The sequence below is a fragment of the Homo sapiens genome, chromosome 12 (genome assembly GCF_000001405.40).
Source record: "Homo sapiens chromosome 12, GRCh38.p14 Primary Assembly".
Classification (NCBI taxonomy): domain Eukaryota; kingdom Metazoa; phylum Chordata; class Mammalia; order Primates; family Hominidae; genus Homo; species Homo sapiens.
The window spans coordinates 123,062,054-123,085,362 of NC_000012.12; the positions used below are offsets into that span (position 1 = coordinate 123,062,054).

At 53.3% G+C, this 23,309-nt stretch overlaps 1 protein-coding gene and 1 long non-coding RNA gene across 30 annotated transcripts in view, besides 6 other annotated features; one reads left to right on the forward strand and one right to left on the reverse strand.

Annotated features, from left to right (window-relative positions):
- PITPNM2 (phosphatidylinositol transfer protein membrane associated 2) overlaps positions 1 to 23,309 on the reverse strand; it is a 168,369-nt gene that overhangs the window by 78,574 nt on the left and 66,486 nt on the right. The gene's annotated exons all lie outside the window — the stretch shown is intronic.
- Positions 2,768 to 3,630: an enhancer, noted in NCBI's record as "H3K4me1 hESC enhancer chr12:123549368-123550230 (GRCh37/hg19 assembly coordinates)". NCBI's record gives its function as "activates a minimal SCP1, AML or CMV promoter by ChIP-STARR-seq in naive H9 embryonic stem cells {active_cell/tissue: H9 hESC(naive)}" and the evidence as "EXISTENCE:reporter gene assay evidence [ECO:0000049][PMID:30033119]".
- Positions 3,789 to 4,290: an enhancer, noted in NCBI's record as "H3K4me1 hESC enhancer chr12:123550389-123550890 (GRCh37/hg19 assembly coordinates)". NCBI's record gives its function as "activates a minimal SCP1, AML or CMV promoter by ChIP-STARR-seq in primed H9 embryonic stem cells {active_cell/tissue: H9 hESC(primed)}" and the evidence as "EXISTENCE:reporter gene assay evidence [ECO:0000049][PMID:30033119]".
- Positions 8,266 to 9,138: an enhancer, noted in NCBI's record as "H3K4me1 hESC enhancer chr12:123554866-123555738 (GRCh37/hg19 assembly coordinates)". NCBI's record gives its function as "activates a minimal SCP1, AML or CMV promoter by ChIP-STARR-seq in naive H9 embryonic stem cells {active_cell/tissue: H9 hESC(naive)}" and the evidence as "EXISTENCE:reporter gene assay evidence [ECO:0000049][PMID:30033119]".
- Positions 15,895 to 16,616: an enhancer, noted in NCBI's record as "H3K4me1 hESC enhancer chr12:123562495-123563216 (GRCh37/hg19 assembly coordinates)". NCBI's record gives its function as "activates a minimal SCP1, AML or CMV promoter by ChIP-STARR-seq in primed H9 embryonic stem cells {active_cell/tissue: H9 hESC(primed)}" and the evidence as "EXISTENCE:reporter gene assay evidence [ECO:0000049][PMID:30033119]".
- PITPNM2-AS1 (PITPNM2 antisense RNA 1) lies at positions 19,331 to 22,691 on the forward strand. The gene is made up of 3 exons (NR_038290.1): positions 19,331 to 19,939; positions 20,835 to 20,906; positions 21,182 to 22,691. It is a non-coding gene; the product is annotated as a PITPNM2 antisense RNA 1 (long non-coding RNA).
- Positions 21,502 to 21,701: an enhancer, noted in NCBI's record as "active region_7250". NCBI's record gives its function as "activates an Ori minimal core promoter by ATAC-STARR-seq in GM12878 lymphoblastoid cells {active_cell/tissue: GM12878}" and the evidence as "EXISTENCE:reporter gene assay evidence [ECO:0000049][PMID:35858748]".
- Positions 23,110 to 23,249: an enhancer, noted in NCBI's record as "active region_7251". NCBI's record gives its function as "activates an Ori minimal core promoter by ATAC-STARR-seq in GM12878 lymphoblastoid cells {active_cell/tissue: GM12878}" and the evidence as "EXISTENCE:reporter gene assay evidence [ECO:0000049][PMID:35858748]".

The following is a 23,309-nucleotide window of genomic DNA, read 5'->3' on the forward strand; positions in this document are numbered from 1 at the left end:
CCCTGCCAAGTAGAGCAGCCTGGCTTGCATCTGTCTGCTCCCCTCCGGTGCACCTGGGACCCTGATGCTTGCTGCTTCCCATTTCAACAAATCCAGGGAGACAGGTTCCTGAGTCCCCAGACTCCCTCCCAGACAGGCAGCCAGGTGGAAGGGAAAGTTTGGGGTCCAGCGCCTGCACTTCTCATCTCTCCGTCCTTAGATCTGATACTTGCAACTGAGCCTTGGTTTACTCATCTGTAAAGGGAGGTGGTAATACGTCCAGTGAGGGGGTAGAACACTATGCCTGGCAACCAAGATGTGTTCTGTCACCCACAGGAATACTAAAAATATCTAACCCCTGGGCACTGCTGCTGGCTGTGGGGCTGGGGGAATCCTGGAGGTGCCTGTGGACAGCATTGCCCACTTAGCTCCAGAAATCCCAGGGAAGGGACAATAAGGGGGACGGGGCAGGGGCAGAGGCTATTTACCAGCAAAAAAAAGTACAGCACTCTTGCTCTTGGGGCTAGATGTATCTAGGATTTCAGAATATCCTGAACTTTAGACAGGTAAAGCTGCATATCTCAGCAGCATCCAATAAACAAATACATTGAACTCTCTGCAGTGAAAGACATGAATATAGAATACATAAAGACTATAAATAGCCTCACTTGGACTATAAATAGCCTCACCTCAGTTCAGGAAAAATTTTGCTGCCAAATGAGTTACAAAAAAGTGTCTGGTTTTCAGTGTGCTGGATTTTGGAATTGAGGATAAGGAATTGTGGATCTGCACATCAATGTTTTCACCACATATCTGTGTGAACCAACTGCATATCACCCCTGCTTCACCCCACTACCAATGCAGGACAGATGAGGGGTGACATGTGCTCTGCCTCTAAAACTCACCAGGCCCTGTGACCTTGGGGAACACAGTCCAAAGAGATGAGTCACACACGAAAGCAAATGTGCACACACACACAAACAGCAATGCCTATAAATATATTCATAACACAGGCCTGCGGGCACATAGGTCCACAAGGACGCAGAGCCCAGCTCTGCTGACGGAACCTGTGTTGCCCCAGGGCCCGCTGACCCCTGCTCAGGGCAAGGCCTGTGTTTCCAGGCCTGTGACTGGGCAAGCAAGGGTAGGCAGGAATGAGGAACACGGCAGGGCTTGGTGGTTGAGAGCTTCCTCATCTCTGCAGTGTGGAGAAGGGGCAGGTATGCCAGGCAGACCTGGCTCTGGTACCAGCACTGCCACTGCCCAGCCGGTGGCCTTAGATAGGTGGCCTTGGGCAGGTGGCCTGCGCCCCTGGCTGGGCTGCATTTCTTCACCTGCAAAGTCTGAGTGAAACAGGCCTCTTGGGCTTGGTGAGAGGCACACAGGAGCCCCCAGGGCTTGGCACACAGCTGGTGCTTAGGAAGTGCTTGCTGACTCTGTTCTGTGACGTTGCTTAAATGCATAATATTTAAAAGAGGGGGCTAAAATAAGTGGCCCCTTCAGTCCCAGAAGCGTCTCCCTCTCCCCCAGGGCTCTCTTTGGAGGCAGAGCCCCTTGTGGGTCTCTGTCCTACACCAGGGCTCTCTGGTCAGAATGCAGATGAGACCTACTGGATGCTCTGGCTGCCAAGAGCAGCCCCCACGAGACCAGGCTCCAGGTCTGGAAGGAAAAGCCTAGAGCAGGGACCCCTGGAGGAGGGGTCACAGCATTGCAGGCAGAACTCAGGCTTTGACATCAGAATGGTGCTCTGATCACACAGCTCCACCCCTCACTTGGTCTTAAGGAAGTTACTTAAACTCTCTGAGCCTCAGTTCTTCATTTTATAGGTGAAGGTATGTGGACCTTCATTTTATAGGTATGTGGACCTAGTCCAATACCACACACACCTCATAGGGTAGTAAGGGGAATAAATTAACAGACAATCAATGTAAAGCACCCAGCACACAACACCCAAGCAACAGCAGCAGCCGCTATTATTACTATAATGATGATGGTGATGGTGATGGTGATGCTGGGGATCAGCCCTGCTAAAGAACTGTGTCCCCACACTCAAAACAGTCAGGACTAGGGGAAACAAATCATTGATATCATTTTGTCACTATGCATTATTGCCAGCCTTCCCAGGGTTGGGGCCGTTGCTCACTGTTTCGACCCTCCCAGCAACGCTGCCAGCAGGCAGACAGACGCACTCTCCCCACTCCAAATTGGAAAATGGAAACCAAGAGAGCGACAGGGACTTGGTCAAGGTCATCGGGCAAGTCAGTAGCAGGGAAGGGATGAGAACTCCTCATTCTGGGCCCAGGGTGACACCAAACCGATCCCAACCAGCACCCCAAGGCCTGCAGCCCACAGGAGGCTCTCAGCCACCACGGGGCACAGGTATGTGCAGGAGCATCAAGACCTGGGCTGGGGGTGGCACAGGGCAGGGGAGCTGAGGGGAGTAGGGAACCAAGACATCTTTCAACTGGCCCAAGCCCATCGCGCACAGTCTGGCTCCTCTATCTTTGGCGGGGAGCCTGGGGCTATTTCGGGAAGCTCTGCGCACAGCCCGCCACTTCCCTGCCAGGCTGACTGGGTCAAAAACAAAACGAGCCCAGCAACACCCCTGTGTCAACAGGGTGGGAAGTGAGGAGGCACTGAACAGCCCCAAATACAACAGCAGGAACAGGAGAAAATCAGGGAAGGTTGTGGGGGTAAGCACATCACCCTCACCCTGCAAAAAAAAGCTAGTGGGAAACAAACAACACAATGAATCAGATGCAGCAGGACACAGGGAGTGACTAGCTCTGGGGCCAGACCACGTTCACATTCAAGCCTTGTCTTTGAGCAAGTCCTTTACCTGCTCCAGGCCTCAGTGTACCCATTTGTGGACCACCACCCACCTTGGAGGGTTGAGTGGGATTAAATGAGGTGACAGTGAGGCACTGGGCACCTGAGATGTCCTCAGCCTGGGCCTGCCATGCCCTGCTCACCCTTCAGAGCCTTGCTCAGAGTCTCCCATTGGGACAGCTGAGCTACAGCCCCCATTCTGCAGGCACTTGCCACCCACAGCCGCTGGAGGCCCCTGGACGGCTGCACAAGGCCCTGTCCATCCTTGTGCAACTGCAGTGCTGAGCCTGGAGCAGCTGCCTCATCGGTCTGTGAGGTCAAGCTCAAGGGGCCACCCAGAAGGCTTTCCGAGAGCATCCAAAAAACCAGAAGAAAGGGTGAAGAGGTCCCCGATGGCATCCAGGGTTCCCCCATAGCCCTCCAGTCACTGTCATGGGGCAGGCAGCAGGACTCAGCTCATCTCTAGCTGCTGCTTTGCAGGGGCAGCATGAGAGCCACCTGGTGCCAGGGACAGCGCACAGGGCTCTGCCCAGAGCAGGTGCACAGCAGACACTGGAGACGGAGTCAATGGGGAACCAACGGGGCTGGCAGGAGAGGCAGGAGGATGCAAGACAGGAACAACCATTTATGGGGCATTTCCAAGGCACCAGGCTCTGTGGGAGCAGCTGACACACCTTGTCCCAGCAGATTATGTCTTTTTGACAGGTAAAAGCAAGGGGCCCAGAAAAGGGAAAGGATTTTGGCAAGTTGGTGTGAGACTTGCAGGAGGCCAGCAAGCTCAGAAGGGCTGTTCATTTTAAATGATTAATTGTATGTAAAGCCTGTGGGTGTGAGGATGAGGAGGCAGCTCCCCAACAGGCACCCTGGGCTGGCCTGGGAGCCTTAGGGGACATCATCCCCAAGGTGGTCTGTTGGTTCTCTCACAGCAGGAGGATGGGAAGGAATGGATGGTGGTCAGGCAGCCACAGGGGCACTGGTACTGGCAACACTCAGCACTTCCTGCATTCAGGGGCACCCTCTGTCATCCTGGACAGCAGAGACTTCTAGAAGTCAGATGCAGGAAGTGCTTCCCAGAGCAAGATTGTCTTTCATTAACTGCTGGAGACGTGGGGCAGAGACTCACCCAAGGTCTGCAGCAGGCCTAAGCCTTGTCCCTTGTTGTATCCAGCCCTGTATGCGTTTGTGTGCGTGTGTGTAGACAAATGTCACCTTCACAGCTGAGGTGTCAGTGTGTCTCATCTGCGATGGGCCAGGGGAAGGAGATGAAAGCTCTTGCAGGTGCCATGTGTTGAAATGGCCACTCCACCATGTGCCCAGTGATGTATCCGAGAGGAGCTCAGGGAGCCAGGGCTGGATGCAGGCAGACAGCCTGGCCAGGAAGGAGGCCAAGTGTCAAGATCGAGCAAGGGGAGGGCCTGACGAGGGGTAGAGAAGACCAAGCTGGGAAACACACGGAGTGGGCTGGTGCAGGCAGGGGCAGAGGGTGAGGGGCCGTCACTGTAGATGCCCTGAAGACTGAGCATTGTGGGTACTCCCCACAACCCACAAACTCATGAGCCAGCCAGGAGCAAGAGCAGGGGTCTGGCTATGTATGCCACCATCATCTCCACTGCCTTTGTGGAGTGAGTCCGTGACCTCACCCCACAGCTGTTGGGGGTGGGGGCATGAACCTCTGAGACAAGCACAGACTGAGAGCTGGGAGACAGACAGACTCCTCTCTGCAATGCCCATCCTGTGAGAGGGGCTTAACCACCCCCTGGGATGGGCTACAAGGTACTGCTATTAGAGAAAGTTCCTATACTGAACAGTTTGCCCCACTGGGACTCAACCTGGGGTCTTGATTGACTTTTTGGAGCCACATGCAGCCTTTCTCCTCCAGGACACCTTAAAATACGTGTCTGACTAGTACACCCTCTCCACAGTGGCTGCCTACTGGACCCCCTCGGCTGCTCTGGGCTCTCTGATTCTACTCGTGGAGGCAAAGTCGCCCTTGCTGATGACAGGGCCTGAGGCTGCTAAAAGCCCTGGGTGTGTTTCCTGGGACCCGCTGCCAGGCCACACTCCCCGGCCAGTGCAGTAGGTTTGCCCTTTATCTGGTGACATTCTGCCTGCTGGGTGCAAGGGGTTGAATAGTGCAGCCCCCTCCCCAAATTCACATCTAACTAGAGCCTCAGAATGTGACCTTATTTGGAAATAGGGTATTTGTGGATATGATTAGTGAAGGATTTCTAGATGAAATCATACTGGATTGAGGATGGGCTCAAAACCCAATGACTGGTGTTCTTATAAGAAGAGGAGAGAGTCTACAGCCATGGCCATGCATGGTGGCTCATGCCTGTAATCCCAGCACTTTGGGAACCAAGGTGGGTGGAACACCTGAGGTCAGGAGTTCGAGACCAGCATGGGCAACATGGTGAAACCCCGTCTCTACCAAAAATACAAAAATTAGCTGGACATGGTGGCACATGCTTGTAATCCCAGCTACTCAGGAGGCTGAGGCAGGAGAATCGCTTGAACCCAGGAGGCAGAGGTTGCAGTGAGCCAAGATTGTGCCACTGCACTCCAGCCTGGGAGACAAGGGTGAAACTCCATCACACACACACACACACACACACACACACACACACACACACACACGCAAAAGAAGAAGAGGAGAGGACACAGGAGACACAGGAGAAGGCCATGTGAAGGCAGAGGCAGAGACTGCAGTGATGCAGCCACAAGCCAAGGAACACTTGGGGCCACCAGAAGCTGCAAGAGGCAAGGAAGGATTCTCCTTGGAGCTTTCAGAGGGAGTGTGGTCCTGCTGACAGCTTGATCTGAGACTTCTGGCCTCCAGAACTGTGAGAGAATAAATTTCTGCTGTTTAGGCCATGCAGTTTGTGGTCATTTGTGACGGCAGCCCCAGGAAACTAGTACATTGGGTTTGTGGCATTGGGAAACAGGACACACTCTGAGCTGACCACATATAGGTCAGCTAGTGTCTCCTGCTCCGGGCACCCTGCAGGAGAACAGCCAATGGGTCTCTTGGCTGGAAGGGTGACACTAGCATCTGGGCAGGACTGAGGCAGCCTGTCACCAGGCTGTTAGCAGGGCTGCAGCCCAATTAGCTCAGGGCATGCGAGGAGCCAACGGTGAGAAACCCGTCTGCATCCAGGCTCTTAAGACACTTGAGGGGAAGTAGTCATGTGGCCCAAAGTGCACTGGCCTCCCCCTGCCCAGCCTCCCCACTTTCTCCACCTCCCCACATGGTACCTGAACAGCTTTTTCTAGGCCCCCATGTCAGGTCAGGCCAGCTCAGCTTTGCTAAAAATCCACGGGCACGGCCGGGCACGGTGGCTCACGCCTGTAATCCCAGCACTTTGGGAGGCCAAGGTGGGCGGATCACAAAGTCAGGAGATCGAGAACATCCTGGCTAACACGGTGAAACCCCGTCTCTACTAAAAATACAAAAAATTAGCCGGGTGAGGTGGCTACTTGGGAGGCTGAGGCAGGAGAATGGCGTGAACCTGGGAGGCGGAGCTTGCAGTGAGCCAAGATTGCCCCACTGCACTCCAGCCTGGGCGACAGAGCGAGACTCCATCTCCAAAAAATAATAAATAAATAAATAAATAAATAAATAAATAAATAAATAAATAAAAATAATCCTTGGGCACACCAGCCCTAAGCAGACAGCCTTAAGAACTAACGCAGGGACTGCAGGTCTTTCTAATCAGAAATGCTTGAAGCGAGATCTGAGAAATACTTAACAGCCCCCTAACCCCAAGGGGCTCAGCATCCCCTACCTGTCTCCACTTTTGGAGACCCTCCCATAATGGGGAGCTGAGGGAGTTGGCCAAGACTTTTGGAAGCTTTAGGACTATGACCAAGGGTTTCTCTGAGATTCTGCAGAGTTTGGAATCTCAGAGAGCTCCAGCACTTACGAACCCCAGGCACCTCCACCACCCCAACACCATAGGCTCTGCCCACTTCAAGGGACATGGTCAGGACAACTGTAGGATTGATAATGTCAGAGCCAAGATGGTTAAGTCCAGCTTTTCTCAAACTGAAGTACAGGGATGAGCTGCTTTAGAAACACCCAGTGAGCTTGTTTAAAATGTAGATTCCAGGGCCAGGTACAGTGGCTCACACCCTTAATCCCAGCACTTTGGAAAGCTGAGGTGGGAGGATTGCTTGAGACCAGGAGTTTGAGACTAGCCTGGGCAATATGGTGAGACCCCATCTATACAAAAAAATTAAAAATTAGCCAGAAGTGGTGGATTGTGCCTGTAGAACCAGCTACTCAGGGGACTGAGGCAGGAGGATGACTTGAGCCCAGGAGGCTGCAGTGAGCTATGATTGCACCACTGCACTCCAGCCTGGACAACAGAGTAAGACCTACTCTCTAAAAAAAAAAAAAAGGAAAAAAATGCAGATTCCTATGCGCTGCTCCCAGACCTGCTAAATCAGAACCTCTGTGTGAGAGGCCTCAGAACCTGCGTTTTAAACACATCTCCTGAGGTTATCAGGAAGCCCTCCAGAGAATGAAACACGGGGCCTGGTACAATCTCCCCTGCAGACAGATGGAGAGACTGGAGACAGGACAGGGATTGCTGCAGGCCACGCAGCAAAGAAAAGGCCAGAGTCCACACCTCTCCTGGGCTTGCTGGGGTCCCTATAGGCCTGGAATCAGATGGCCAGAGTCCTCTGTGCTCAAAGAGCCCTTCCCCCAGGTGAAGCTTCCTCGCCTTCCAGGCCCCCTGGAAGCCTTCCCAAGCCCCGTGGGCCGAGTCAGCACCCCGGGCACCTTGCGCCCACTTTCCTTTTGGCATTTATCAGACTGCACTGTAGCCACATGTTTGCCTTGGAGCTCAGGGCCCGAGCCTTGTTCAAAGTTGTGTCCCCAGGGCTCGGCCACAGCAGTTGCTTAATAAAGGTAGGTACCCAGCAAATATTTGTTAGATAAAAGATTTTAATTCCAAACTCTGTCCCAGAACAGTTGTCTGACCTTGGGCAGGTGACCCAACTTCCAGGCCCCTTCCTGGAACAGATTCTGGTCATCTGCCCTGACCGTTTCCCAAGGTGACAGTGAAAAGCCAGATGCAATGCACTCAGGAAGCTGCCCAGCAGTGGGGCTCTGCACCCGGTGCTCATATGACAAGCAGGGGCTCACTGAGTGACTGGCAAGGAGCTAAGAGTCCCCAGGTTGGCAAGACCCAGCCAGGAGAGTCTGCTGATAAGATACAGCCCAGGGACAGACGAGTCCAGAGGTTCTACTAGCCTTGAGCCTGGGGCAAGAGGTCGCCATGCCCTGGCCCCTAGCCCAGCTCTCTTCACTGCTCTTGGGGCTTAAATCATGCCCTAAGCCCATGTCCACTGTGGGGAGCAGGGACTGGGCCCTGAAAGCTATCAGACTGCAAACAGAAGATCACATCAAGTGGTGGTAACAAGGGCCTGGGAGCTGAAGCAGGTCCCTGGCCTGTGTGGGCCTTAGTGTCCCAGCTATAGTGAAGGGGTTTGAGCTGGACCGTATCCAAGGGCCCCAGGACCGTGTGGGCAATGGCACCGCTGTCACAGCTGCTGTCATCAGCACCCTCAGGGCCTCATGGCAGGCATTCATGTTGGTGTGGGCATCAGGGAAGGTCTGCTCCTCTGGACAGAGGCCTCCTAGAACACCCAGGCCGGGCAGCCCAGAGGAACATGACACACGCTGAGTCTGGGAAGCAGGCGATGTCCCCCCTCCCAGCTCCACTGGCTGCCCTGAGGAGCAGAGCTGCCCATGGGATGGGCTCCCTATGAGACAGGATGCTCCTCGGTGTGCCACTTCCTCAAGCCAGGCAGTAACAGCTTACACAGGCCAGGCCTCTTCCAAGGAGGAGCTGGGGAGCTTAGGCCTGCCCCCCATGCCTTCTAAATAACCCCACAGGACCAACCGGTTCTTCAGACCAGGCTAGTTGTGGGGGCAGCCCTAAGGGCCCCACATCAACATGCCCCTTCGCGCATCTGCCCAACTCAGAGAATGCCGTGACGTGTGACTCATGTTGGGGCCACATGGAAGGGATGTCACCGAGTCACCAGGTCAGCCCTTCCTAGCTGCAAACAGGGGGATGCAGGGAAGGAGGCCAGCAGAGAGAGGGAGTTGAACTCCGTTCTGCCTCCAGGAGCCTATCCAGCTGGCCCAGCTCAGTGTGATTCCAAGGAACTCAGGAAAGCTGCCCTGGGTCTGCCTGGCTCAGTGTCCCCATCTAGCAGGTCCGACCTGGGATCCTCGAGTGTCCACTGTTGCTTGGGAGGGAGCAACAGGCTGAACTCTTGAGTAGGGTGGGCAGAGGGCTGCAGGCAGCAGAGGGGGACAGGCATGCCGGCTCTTCTCTAAGTTGAAGCTGCCAGCTGGTGTCTCAAGCATAACTTCCAGCCCCTGCTCTTTCTGGGTCCAGGGGAGGCCCCTCCTTGGCACTGCAGCCATATCCAAGTTTCAGCCATGAAATATGGAGCTGCTCATCTTTTCCCTGTGCTCCCCATAAGCCACACTGCTGACCACGTGTTGTGCTTCCTAGGGTGGAGGACAGCCAGAGAGAGACCCGCAGGCTGGATAACTCTGCTGCCCACCTTCCCCTGAGGGCAAGCTCAGTCCAGGGAGTGGCTCTGGGTTCAGGTGGCTGGCAGGGTACAAACGGCTCGATGATCACACCTCCTGACAGAAAGCTCTGCTGGCTAAGACACCGCACTGGCTCTCCAAACATTTGGGAGCATGAAAAGCAGCGGTTGGCCTGGCCCTGATCCTAGGACAGCCTCTGGTACAGAGCAATCTGACACTGGAGGAGAGCCCCACAAGACGATCATCCGCTTCACACGCTCCTGCGACGAGGCAGGCAAGAAGCACAGAATCTTGAATTCTCACACAACGCCCATGGGGGGACCATCACTCCCATTCCACACAATAGGAAACTGAGGTGCAATGGGATTAAGCAGCTTCTGTGGGTCACACAGCCAGGACTCAAAACCCGAGCCTATATGACTACCAAGTTTTGCTCTTCTACCAGCTTAGGAAGGTCCTAGAGCAGCCCAGTCCCGATCCTTTCCATCTCAGGAATCTAGAGTCCTGGAAAGGGGACTTCAGCCATGCAATTAGCACAGGCCCAGCAGGCAAATGAAGTCAGGCGGAAGGAGTGTTTTAAATTTACCCATTCCCCATTCTCTGTCTGCACAGGCTTGACAAAGCCTGTTCACAGCCACAGGCTGTGATAATGGTGTGCCCACGCCTAGAAAGCTGTGAAGTGCTTTACAAGGGCACAGGGTGACAGGAAAAGTGAGGACGCTGGCATGAAACAAAGTGCTGGGCACACACCATCCATTTGTCCTTCCCATTCTCCTGAGGGCATCCATCGCTAACTCTGCTGTGCACACCAGGAAACTGAGGCTCCGAGAGGTCAAAGGAATTCTCCAAGATCTTATAATCAGGCTGATGGTAGACAGGGGACAGGGACAAGGTCTTCTAACTTGCATTCTCCCCTGCCCTCCAGCCCCTGAGCATAGTCTTGCTTAGAGAAAGGTGATGGGGACTTGATGAGGAAAATTCCTCTCACTATGGCAACAAGGTGGGGAAAGTGAGGCACAAAGTAGACAGCAAGTTAAGGCTGGCAATTGTCCCTCTCCTGTCTTCTCCCAAGACACACCTACCATTTGCAGAGTGACAGAGCATGTTCAAGTCCCTCATTCATTCATTCCCACCAAACTTGGCTTTGTCAGGGAGACAGTCAGGTCTCAGAGAGATCCACTGGGGCAGAGCTGGGACCCCAGACTCTCAGACTCCAGGCCTAGTGCTCCCTGTCAACAGCTGCTCAAGGTTTTGAGGTTAAACATTCATCTGAAAGGGGCTTTCAGGATGCCGAAGGCAGCAGAGAGGGCCACAAAGCTGACCTACTGGGTAAACCTGCAACTGAACGTTGGACCAAATAAAACCAGCACCCAGTCAGGAAACCATCATAAGATACAACTTTCCCTCACCTGGAGCTCTGGAAGAAGAGGCTGTGGCCACCAGGCAAGGGCCCTGGGGAAGTCATCCAAGCCAGAATCCGGAGCCCCAACAGGGATCAGGGAAGGAGCCTGACTTCCGAGGCCTGGTGTTTAGGGAGAGCCCTGCCTCTTGAGAGTTTGGCTGGTGTGATTCCATCGCCTGCCCCCCTCCCCAGAGCTCCCTATCCCCTTCAGGGATGGCCAGCTGTCTCCAGCTTCCATGAGGATGGAGCTTCCGTTTTATTCACTTGGCTTCTCATGGGTCGTTAAGGTACAAACCCTCTGCTATTTGTTACATCGGTATACTTTCAACCTCTTAGGAAGAGCTCTTAAATGGATGAGCCTTTTTTCTTCCATATTTCATTTTCATATAGTCTCTAAGCTACGGAAAAATTGCAAAACTAACATAAGAACTCCCCTCTACACTACCCAAAAGCAGCAATTGCTTCCCTTTTGTTCCATCTGCCTTGCATCTGTGTCCCTCCTGCTCTCTGTGTGCATCTCTGGGCATAAACACTCCTGACCCATTGAAGAGTAAGTTATGGGAATGCCTTGTCTCTAACAACAGCCTACCATTCGCCACCGCCTACACAGGTGGTTCATCTCCTAGCACATCACACCTGTTCTCTGTGGTGAGACACATGAAGTAGACAGTGTTATCTCTATGTTACAGATGAAGAAACTGAGGCACATATCTCCTCATGTGCAGTGCTGCTCCTACTACCCTGAGCCACCAATGCTGAAATCCTCAGCCTAAAACACATAGACCCCACGATGCAGACTGTCTTTCTGATGATACATGATGTAGCAATTTTTAAAAGAAAGGGAGCCACTCTGCTCCTATAGCAGAATAACAGTGGATCAGGATCAGAGTGACCCGGATTTTCCACAGTGTAGAGTGGCCTCGTACTCTGGGTGGAAGCCCTGGGGCAAGTGAGTGGTAGGGCAGATGCAGGGGGCTCTCCTCCAGCTCATCCCCAGGCTGCCTGCTCCTTCCTCTCTCTAATTCCTTCCTTTTCTCTTCTCAGACAACTAAGGTGGGTGGCCGTGGAGTGCAGGGAGAGTGAGCACCCCCCAGCTCTCCTCACCCAACCTCCTTGGCCTCCTCCCATACTGAGCACCCGCTGAAGGACAAGGGCTGAATATAGTCTTCAGGCCAAGAGCCCAGCAGCCATGCCCGGTGCAGAGCAGGTTGCATGTATAACTAATGAGTGAGGCAGAGGGAGGGAGGGAGCGAAGGAGTGAAAGAGCCAAGGATCCAAGTTCTGGTTCTGCCTTCACAGGCAGGCTACTCAACCCTCCGAGACTCGGTCTACTTATCTGTAAAATGGGAGCAACGCCAAGTACTTCTAGGGTGGCTGCAAACTGTTAAATCAGATGAGACTTGGGAAAGTGTCTGTGAAGTGGATTTAAGATCCCAGTGCAGACATAGGTTAAGGAGTTTGCTGAGCCCTGCTCTGGGAATTGAAGCAGAAAATGGGAGAAGCAGAATGCAAAGTTAAAGATGCCCAAATACAAATGCCACACTCACATTCACTGCACACACTCTCACATACCCCATAGGCACACACAGGCACATATACATGCCACACACATGCACACACACCTCACACACACAACATACCACACATGCACATATAAATACACACATGTCCATATGCACACAACACACACTCACATATACACCCCCCACATGAGCACACCACACACGCATATGCAAACACATCACACACCTCACATAGACACACACATGCCTACACATACACCCACCCACCCACACACACACACAAACACACACATATGGCCTCACAGCTCAGTACACCCTAAGCTTATCAGTCTCTGATGAATCCCTTCCCTTTGGGCTGGCGGCCCTCAGAAGCCCTGGACAGAAAGCCAGCACCCAGAGGCTCCCCTGCAGACACAAACATGCCAATCCCTGTAATACACCAGACCATGCAACAGAGCACCAGGGAGGAAAAGAGGGAACAGAGGCAGCTCTTTCCAGAAGTGGACAGGGACAGTTGTCTCACTCAGGTGAGACACTGAGCTGTAAAGCAATGCATAAAAAGGACAGCTGTCTGATCTTAACAATCCTGGGAACCGTTTACATGGGATCATGTTAGCATGAGAAGAATGCCAAATGGTAGGTACACCCCTGCTAGCAGGCAGGGAAAACATATTTGTGTGTGCGTGCATGTGGGTGTGAGCTTGTGAGTTGCATGTGCATGCCTGCATGGCATGTGCACATGTATTTGTGTGAGTGTGCATGTGGGGAGGCTGTGTGTGTGTATCTGCAAGCATATGTGCACTTGTGGGCAAAGGCGTGTATGTGCATGTATAAGTACGTGTGTGTTCAGGAAACTCACAAGAGAGACTGGGGGAGAGTTTAATGTTCATGAGCTTCTCTCTTCCTGCAGTTTAAGTCATCATGCAACACCACCAACAGACTTTTTCAAAGCTAGGCACGGGCTGGGCGGGGGCCAAGGCAGATGTTCTGAGTCCCAGAATCTCTGACCCGCATCAGAGCGGCCTGTCCTGCCCAGCACAGCCTGGGTGGTGGATTCCACCATGCTGCAAGCCAGGCCAGGGAAAAATAAATCAGACTTTCTCCTGGGAGCTTCACTGGCTTCGTGGGGTCTGTCTGAACCACAGGGCTTCCCACCACGCCCTTCCCTGAATCCCAGCGCTCCTGTCAAATTAAAGAAAGAACCACTCACCGCCTGAAAGCCAGCCAATGAGGTGATTATTCCAATTTTCCTGGAACGAGCTTTCCACACTTTCACAGGCTGGAGCCATCGGCGGCCCAGGCTCCCACCTCTCCAAGCTGCTCTCACGCCCCCTGCGGCTCCTTTCAAGTTAAGTCACCACTACGTGAAGTTATACTTTAGAGCAGCCGCTGAGAAAGGACACAGGAGGGCGGAGAGGCTGGGGCAGAGCACTCACGATCTACCTCAGGCAAATGCAGCCAGGCTGGAGGAGCCGGCCTCTCTCCTCAAAAGCCAGCTTGGCTCTGGCTGTTCTTTTGACTTTTGGGCTTGGTAACTGAACACACACTTGCATTGCCCTGAGCTCACACGAAAGCCCTCAGGGCAGAGGAAGCCCAGCAGCAACGGCAGGGCCGGGTGCCTCCCATAGAGGCTGAGAGCAGAGATGACGATCAGGTGCTGCCACTTGTGGGCTGGCCTTTAAGGTGTCACATCAGATTTTCCGCTCACTAGCAAACCAAAACCAAACTAAACAAAACTAGCACATGGCCTCCCCGCCCATCACATAACTCGTAAACCCATCAGAATTCCCAGCAACCAACCAGAATCCAGATGCCCGTAATGTTGTTAAGAAGCCTGCACACCGCCCAGATGCCAGGAGGGTCTGGGTGATTCTCCAGCCCCAAAGCAGAGGAAGAAACAGCACAGACCTGTGCAGACACAAAAGCATTCCTCTCATCCTGCCCAGTTGTAACCCATCTGATTGCTCAAAGAGAAGCACCAAGAATTGAGGGTCTCTGGGGGGCTCAAAGGCAGTTTTAAAGAAACAGGGCTTTGGGGAGATAAACATAGTTTAAAGATGCCCAACCACAGAACCACACAGGGAGTCCTGTCTCAGGCCACCTTCAAGGCTCTGATGCTGTTATTAAAACAATCTGACAGAGAGAATGCTGAAACAAAAAACAGAATCCAATCAGGTGCTCATGAGGCTGAAGTCCTATATTCAACTATTCACTTTGTGAGCCAATTCTGGTCCCACCCTCAATCCCCACTGCACCCTGAGACACAGACACATACTGGAACATCTAGACTTCTCTGCAGTCAGCCCTCCAAGTTGAGTGCCTCTTTCAGAGTTGACTATGGGTTCCCTGGTACCTGAACTCTGAAGCTCCCTGGTGAGTCAGACAGGGCTACTTGGTGTAACACTTCCTATTTAAAGATCAGAGAGGGGTTACTCTCAGACACCATTCAAACCCATAACTTCTAAGAACTGGGTGCTAAATCCGGTTTCTTTGGCCCTCACTTTCCATCAACACGGGAGCTGTTCTTGTTGACAACCAGGGGTTCTTTTTTCCATTGCCTGCTGCACAGGAAGCAGAGGTCACGGTGGGAGCTGCCTGTGCCGGGCATGGGTCGGAGTGTGTCTCCCCGGGCTGCGCTGCTGAGGGGTTAGCCTCACAGATTCCCTCTGGGAAAGCCACTTAAGAGTCATTCTGAATGCATCTACTGGGGATGGGGAAGAAATGATGCAGAATGTTGACCCACTGGGCAGCAGGCTTGAAATCCTGCCTGACCAAACTGTGCCGAGGGGCTGTCCCAAACAGATGGTGCTATCCAGACAGACACACTGGCAGGGCCGCTCTGCCTGAAGCCAGCCAGCAGACGATCCTCCCTACACCACCTTCTTGGAAATCTTGGTTATGGGGGATATCGGGGTGGGGAGGGACACCCCTTGTTATCAGGGGTGGAGAGGGACAAAACATTTCCTCACTGAACTCTCATTTTCAGATAATGAAGGATTGGTCAGAGAGACAGCCAACGTGTGGCCAACAATCACCACTCCAGAGCCCTGCCCCATCTAGGGCGCACGTGCATGCCTCTGAATTTCCTCCCCTTTCCTTGGTCCAACCACAGTCCAGGAAAGCAGATTTTCTATGCCCCGTGGCAATCACAGTGGAAAATGGAAGTACAATGGAGTGCTGTACCTACCCAAGCACCAGGAGGCAGGAGTCGAGCTACTCACAGACTCCCTAGAGGAGAACTCCACGCACCCAAACTCTGCTGTGCCCCCTCTGAGTTCTGAGCATGCCAGGTGAGGCCTCTCCCTCTCTCTCTCCCTCCATCCCAGCTCTTCGGAGAGAAAGCAAGCAGCCCGCGTGACCAGACAGAGCCTTCCTTGCTAATAAACCCATCCTGAGGCTGTGACATGTTTCAGAAGGAGCAGAAAATTACCTTTTAGGAAGCCAATGTGAGGGAAGGGGTGGGGGGACAAAGTATCAGAGCCAGGAGGTGTGCACCACAGGAGCCAGGCTGGGGTCGCGCAGCAGCCTCCCATCCCTGCAGAGGTCCGCTGAGCTCCCCATGCTGCCGGCCTCAGGGGGCCGCCCCCAGCACGCAGCTCTCCCAGCAGCCCATGCCTGGAGACAGAGGACACTGAGGAGCACGCGTGTCCCCAGGATGGGTGGACGGAGGAGCTGGGAGACTGGGCAGGGATGCCGGAGGAAGGGAGAAAGGCAGGCCGGAGAGGAAGGGGTGGGGAGCGGAGAGGGAGGGCGGGAAGGAGGGAGAATTGATTTTCTCTCCTCCACTGGGACCACTGAGCTGAGTTGCCATGGAGAAAGGGGAGCCGCTGGCAGAGCCCAAGGCGGGCGGAGGAGCCATATGCCAGAGGGAAGGCATCAGCAGAGAGCCAATCCCACAGTTCTGCTGCTGCAGCCTCCCCCATACCAGGCCTCAGGGTCCAGGTGGCCAGGCGGGGAGGGGTACCGGCCAGACCGGTGGGCAAAAGCAGCAGCTGGTGGCCACCACCATGCCAAGGAAAAGGGAGGAGATGGGGGCTTTCTCGCCTGGCTCGTGGTGCTCCGCTGCCCCAAGAGCCTGGGCCCTCCGTCTCACGCCACGATGCCCAGCCAGAGCCTGAAGTCGGGACCCCAGAGACTAAAGTGACCCTCTCCCCGGGCTTAGGTGATACCTTGTGTTAGGGGAGGCGTTGTGGATTTCCACCTGCCCGGCCTCCCTGTTTCTAAAAATCTGTTGCCAAATCCTGAGTCACATCTTCCCACCCTCAGGGATAAGGGGATACCCACCTATGGAAGGGCTCCGATGGCCCAGTGCCACCCATGTGGGAAGCAGAGGAGAAGGGAGGCTGCTGGGCACAGCAGGGGGAGGGGGCTCTCCTGGACACACTGGCAGGTGGATGGGGACTCCCAGGCTCCCCACGCTGGGTGGCATCTCCCATCACGCCTGTGCCAGCCTCACTGCTGCAGCTGCCCACGTCCCAGCTTCGATACTGGCTTCAGCCACCTGGCCCCACTCATACTGGGAGCAGCGAAATGGGGCTGGGAAGAAAGCCACGAGACCTCAGTGGGGTCGCAGTCTCTCTTCTTGGAGATCACATGACCAGGGGCAAGTCTGGTCACTTCCTTGAGCTTCTATCTCCTTATTACAGACAGAGATGATACCACGTTCTACCAACTGGCACTCCCAGGCACTCAGACGTGGCAGGACTTGGGGAAGGCTCAGGGCAGGCACTAGTGCTGTCCTGGGCCCATCTCAGGAGCTGCGGTCTCCTTAGGGCTGGGAGCACAGTAGCAGCATCCTCCAGCCTCCTATCTCTCCCTGCTCACTTGGTAGACTCCTCAGGACTAAAACTACAGCAGGTCTGCATCCGGCACCAGAGCCTACCAGGCCCAGCTGCCCTGACACAGAGACATCTAAGTTGGGGCACAGCCCAATCCCATCGCTTTCTCCCTCAGTGTTTTATTTCACTTCTTTTTCTTTTTTCTTTTCTTTTTTTTTTTTTTTTTTTTTTTTTTTTTTGAGACAGAGTCAGGCTGGAGTGCAGTGGTATGATCACAGCTCACTGCAACCTCCACCTCCTGGGCTCAAAACAATTCTCCTGCCTCAGCCCAAGTAGCTGGGATTATAGGCGCCCACCACCACACCCAGCTAATTTTTGTATTTTTAGTAGAGACAAGGTTTCGCCATGTTGGCCAGGCTGGTCTTGAACTCCTGACCTCAGGTGATCCACCCATCTCGGCCTCCCAAAGTGCTGAGATTACAGGCATGAGCCACCGTGCCCGGCCTCTCTCTCACTGTTTTATGATGAAAGTGTTCAAGCATATGGCAAAGTTGAAAACATTTTATAATGAACATCCATATATTCACCATCTAGATTCTACCGCTTCTTCTCACTTTTTTTATTGCAGTAAAATACATATAACACAAAATTTACCATTTTAACCATTTTAAAGTGTTCACTTCAGTGGCATTGAGTATATTCACAATGTTGTGCAACCACCACCTCTATCTAGTTCCAGAGTTTCAGCATCCCAAAAGGAGACCCATTAGCAGTCTCTCTCCAGTCCCCTCTCCCCCAGCCCCTGTCAACAACCAATCTACTCTCTGTCTGTCTCTATGGATTTGCCTATTCTGGACATTTCATATAAATGGACTCATAAACTACATGGCCTTCTGTGTCTGGCTTCTTTCACTCGGTATCCTGTTTTCGAGGTCCATCCATGTTGTGGCGTGTGTCAGTCCTTCATTCTCTTTTATGATTGAATCATATCCCAGTACATGGATGGACCACATTCTGCTTATGCATTATCCATCAGCCAATGGACATGTGAGCTGTTTCCACCTTTTGGCTATTGTTGTCACATTTTTTTTTTAAGACACAGGGTCTCACTCTGTTGCCCAGGCTGGAGTGCAGTGGTGTGATTATAGCTTACTGCAGCCTCGACCTCCTGGATTCAAGTGATTCTCCCACCTCAGCCTCCTGAGTATCTGGAAATACAGGCCAGGGTCATGCCACTGTGCTCAGCTTCTCACTTTTAAAATGAAGTCTTCAGAGCCCAGTGAAATATTCCAGAGCCCCTCCTAAGGGATTTGTTCCCAAAGTTGCAGGCCCAGAGGCCCCAAACTGAGTGCTCATCTCACCCTGCCTTTCCACTAAAGCAATGCTCCCCATGGGTGACCAAGTAAGGGAGGCTCCAGCTGGCCCTGGGGCCCAAGGCAGAGATCCTAAAAGCCTGTGTGTAGCCCACAAGTGGGCCTCCAGCCTCCTCCAACCCATCCCAGGTAAGCAGTCAGCTGGGCAGGGAGACACATGCATGTGCCAACCCCACACCCATGCTTTGAGATCAAATGAAACCCGGTGCCAGGACCACTGGCACTCACTGACTACGTGACTAGCCAGTCATCACCCCTCTCTGAGCTTCAGCTTCTTCAGCTGTGAATGGGGCAACAATCTCTACCCCATGGGTTTGCTCTAGAGATGATGCTGGCGCCACCCAATAGAACTTTCCCCAGTGATGAACATGTTACACACCTGCACTATCCAGTGCAGCTGCCGTGACCTGCCACTGGCCCCAGGTGGCTACTAAGCACTTGAAATGTGATGAATGGGAGTGGGAAATAGAACTTTTCCATTTTATTTCACTTTAATTTATAATTGAACTTAAATAGTCACACTAGACTGGTGGTCAGTTCTAAGGCCTGAGGAGATGACAAGTGTAAAAGGACGCATGGTCCAGGCCCAGGCCTAGCTCCTGGTCTCTTCCCTCAACCCCTCCTCTCCTACTTACCCCACAGTGTCTGGGCAGGGGAGCAGGCTCTGTCCACAGCCTAGCTCCAGAGGCACCTCTAAAAGGAGAGAAGGTGGATGGTGGGGCTCTCAGGGAACAGCATAGATACCAACTGGGGAGTGGGCACCATAGACTCCATAATGACGTGGGTCTGGAACTGCAGGCCTCTCCTCTGCCCTGTTCTAGAACCCCTCAACTGCTGTTTCCCCTAGCAACTCCTGCGGTTATCCCTGGAATGTCTGGGCAGGGGCTGTAAAATTGGAATAGGTCCCCCCCCACTCCTTAATGTGGTGGCAGAGACCCCTGAGGGGAAATGCAGAGGGCCTTGGTTCTCGGCTGGGCTGTGGAGCTGGGCACTCAGGGAGTTTCACATAGCCACGAAGCTGCTTTCTCAGGCTCCTCTGGCAGGGAGCGTCAGGATGAGAATCCAGACCTGACTGCCACCCAGCCCTCTCACTTCGCAGATGCAAAAATCCAGACTCAGAAAGGGAGGTAACTTCTCCAACAGGGCGGGGTCTGAAGCCCAGGGTCCCGACCCCACCAAGCTGGCCCTGCAGGAGCCTCCTGAGAGGTGTCTCGGGAGCAGACCCAGGGGAAGGGGGCACTGTGCACTCTTGCCGGGTAGGCAAAAGTCTGTCTGCTTCTTGGCAGCTGTGTGGCTTCAAAGCCCAGACAGCAGGGACTGAAGACTGAGCAAGCCACCCCTCTCCTGTCCCAGACCCACCTGAACCCACCAAAGCTGGGAAAGGAGGGGTAGTGGAGACTCCAGAAAAACAGGAAAAATTTAAACTCAACCACTAAGTAAAGCATCATTAACTCCTGTTGTGCTGAGCCCACAAACAGGTAGGAGTCATGCAGAGGTGGGAGCTGTAGCTGAGGATGGGCCTGTACCCCCACCCTGCAAAGCCTTCTCCTGGCTCCCTCAACAGACTGGCCAGAAGGACCAGGACATGCTCAAAGCCCTGAATGGCCTCTCTCCACCCACTCAGAGTGAGGGCCTGCAGGCTCTGCCCTGCCACCTCTCCGCCCTGGCAAGGCCGTGGGCAAGTTCCTGCCTTGGGGCATCTGTACTTGCCACTCTCCCTCCCCTCTGCTCAAGGGCCCCTTCTCACTAAGGCCTTCCTTGACACCCTGATGTAAAACTTGGCCCTGACTCTAACCCTGGCATTCCTCTGACCCTTTCTAATTTTCTTCAGAGCGTTGATCGTTATCTAGTACCCGACTTACTTTTCTTTCTTCTTTCCTTTTTATTTTAAAAATTGTACATGTAACATAAAATTTACCATCTTAGCCATTTCTTTATTTTCATTTTTTTGAGACAGAGTCTTGCCCAGGCTGGAGTGCAGTGGCACGATTTCAGCTCACTGCAACCTCTGCCTCCCGGTTCAAGCGATTCTCATGCCTCAGCCTCCAAATAGCTGGGAATACAGGCGCCCACCACCATGCCCGGCTAATTTTTATATTTTTAGTAAGACGGGGTTTCACCATGTTGGTCAGGCTGGTCTCAAACTCCTGACCTCAACTGATCCGCCCGCCTTGGCCTCCCAAAGTGCTGGGATTGCAGGCGTGGCCACCGTGCCTGACCCATCTTAGCCACTCCCAAGTGCACACAGTTCTATGGCATTAGGCACATTCACATTGTTGTGCAACATCCCCACCATCCTTCTCCAGAACCAATTCACCTTCCCCAGCTGAACTCTACACATTAAACAATAACTCCCCATTCCCTCTTCACCAGCCCCAGCACTCACTGTTCTACTGTCTGTCGCTGTGCATTTGACAACTCTAGGGACCTCATCATATAATCATGGTAAGTGGAATCATACAGTATTTGTCCTTCTGTGTCTGGCTTCTTTCACTGAGCATGTCTTATGGGTTCATCCATGTGTCGTAGCATGTTCTTTTTAAAATATTGCCTGCCCAGGCACAGTACAGTAGCATACGCTTGTAGTCCCAGCTACAGGAGGCTGTGGTGGGAGGATTGTTTGACCCAGGAGTTTGAGCCCAGCCCCCTTGGGCAACATAGTGAGACCCCATCTCTAAAAAAAAACAAAAAAGTTTTTAACTCTCTGTCTCTCCTACTAGAATGGAGTCTCTACGAGGGCAGGGATGTTGGTTGGCTGTATCCTCGGGCTGGAAGAGCACTGGCACGCAGCAGGCACTGAATAGAATTTCTAAATATACAAACGGATGAACCAATGGATGGATGGATGAATGAAGACCCTGTATAGGTCAATGCCTCAAATGTCTGTGCCTGGCCTGGAGTTATGTCCCTCACCCCCACTGTAGACTAACTCCTGGTCCCACCCTACGGCTTTGGAACTGAAGCCACAGGCCTACCATCCCTGAGAGGTAGCGGTGCTCAGCGTGGCAGGACGCCCCACTTGATGGTAGGCTTCTCCCAGATGGCTAACTGCTTCGAGTCTTTCCCCCAGATGTAACATGTCTATGGGAGGATTATGACATGGGTAGATGAGAGTCCCCAGCCATGGAGGTGACAATGTGCCCTGGAGCCTCACAAGGCAGCAGCCACCAGGAAGAGGCATGGAGGCCAGGAAGGTCCTGGAACACCAGAATTTGGCCAACAGAGCCTGAAGCCAGCACATCGTGGAGGGGCAGCAGCCTGGGGGCATTCGGGAGACCTGGAGATGTGGCAGCTGGCCAGGAGCTGGGGTACAACCTTGACAATCACTAACCTCTCACTTCCTCGTCCTGCCAGGCTATTTATAGCCTCCCTCTCTCTGAAAACTCCTTCACCCATTTTTCTGAGCTTAACAAGCTTGGTGAATTGAAATCAGGTGGACCACCTCCCCAACCTCAGCAAGCCTGCTGGGGTGACTGCACTCAGGCCAGGCCTGCTGGCAGCTCCTGCTCCATGACAGGGACCCTTGAGGGCCTGCTGAGAGTCACAGGGTTGGGGTGACCCCGGGAAGGTGGCATCTAAAGAGAGGGCAGCAGCTGGGCACCCAGGCAGACCTCAGCCAGAGATGCTGGACGATGGTGACCCCAGAAGGGCTCAGCTCACCCCAGGCCTCCTCCCTGCTTCAGGAAAAACAAACAGATTGGGACAGTGGAAAAACAGCTGTACCTTTAAATTATCTGGCCCACAGATATGAAAAACATTTGCATGCTGAAGCTGTTTGCATCTTCGGTTATTTTTAGGGTGAACCCAGTTGCCTCCCCTTGGAACCAGATGAAGCCCCAGAGGCACGTAGTCCTTTTTCCCAGACGGGGGTCCTGGTCCTGTTTCCCTGGGAATAAGGCTTGAGCATGAGCTCTCTGGGACCCAGCCCCCGACCAGAACCACACCGTGCATTCAGGCTTGGGAGGAACTGGAGCACCAGGGAGCCAAGGCTGCAACTTTGAACATTTGCCACTGCTGACATCGTGGCCACCCACCTGGGGCCAGAAAGAGCCCCTCCGCTGCCCCCAGAGCATGGGTGAAGAGACGAACGCTTAGCCTACTACCTCCTCTCATGCCAGGCCCAGCTGATGGGAATATTTTGCTGAGATATTTCTAGCACCAGCAGCAATTAAAGCAGATTTTCTCTTCCACTCCCCTTCCCCAAAACAAGAATAAATCAGTTCTACCAATTTCCCAGCTAATGATTTCCTCCATTAAATTAAAAAGAAGAAGAAAATGTTTTCTTAAATGGATTACCAGCCCTGTGCTTTCAGAGACCATGTGACCTGTCAACTCCTTTTAAAGTCTGATACATCAAAGTCCCTGAATTAATTTTTAATAAATAAAAAAGTCATAATCTAAGAAGCACCATCCCACACACCCCCCTCCCCCATCAAGGGTCAGCTCTGAGCTGACTCTGGGAAGCCAGCTTAATCGGGCCAAGTATGGCTCTTAATAGAGAACCAGATCCATTCCACAGATGGGAGAGACAAGGCTGAGAGATGTCAGGTGCCCAAGCACAGAAATCAGGCCCTGAGATGAACCTAGAGTTGTGGCATGCACCGTAGAGTGCTACATGTGGAACTGAGTCCTTGATTTCGAGGGGCACCTGTCTGGAGAGATGCAAACAGGTAGATCCAGGAGCTGAGGAGTAACTAAGTAGGTGTGAGCTAGCGCCATCTGCGTGACCCAGATGGGGGCTCCTGGGCAGGACCTGGGCTTCTCTTCCTCTTTTGCTCCCTGGCAGCACCTGGTATAGGGTCAGCACACAGTGCTGACATCCCCTTTGCTTCAAAAAGCCCACCCCCT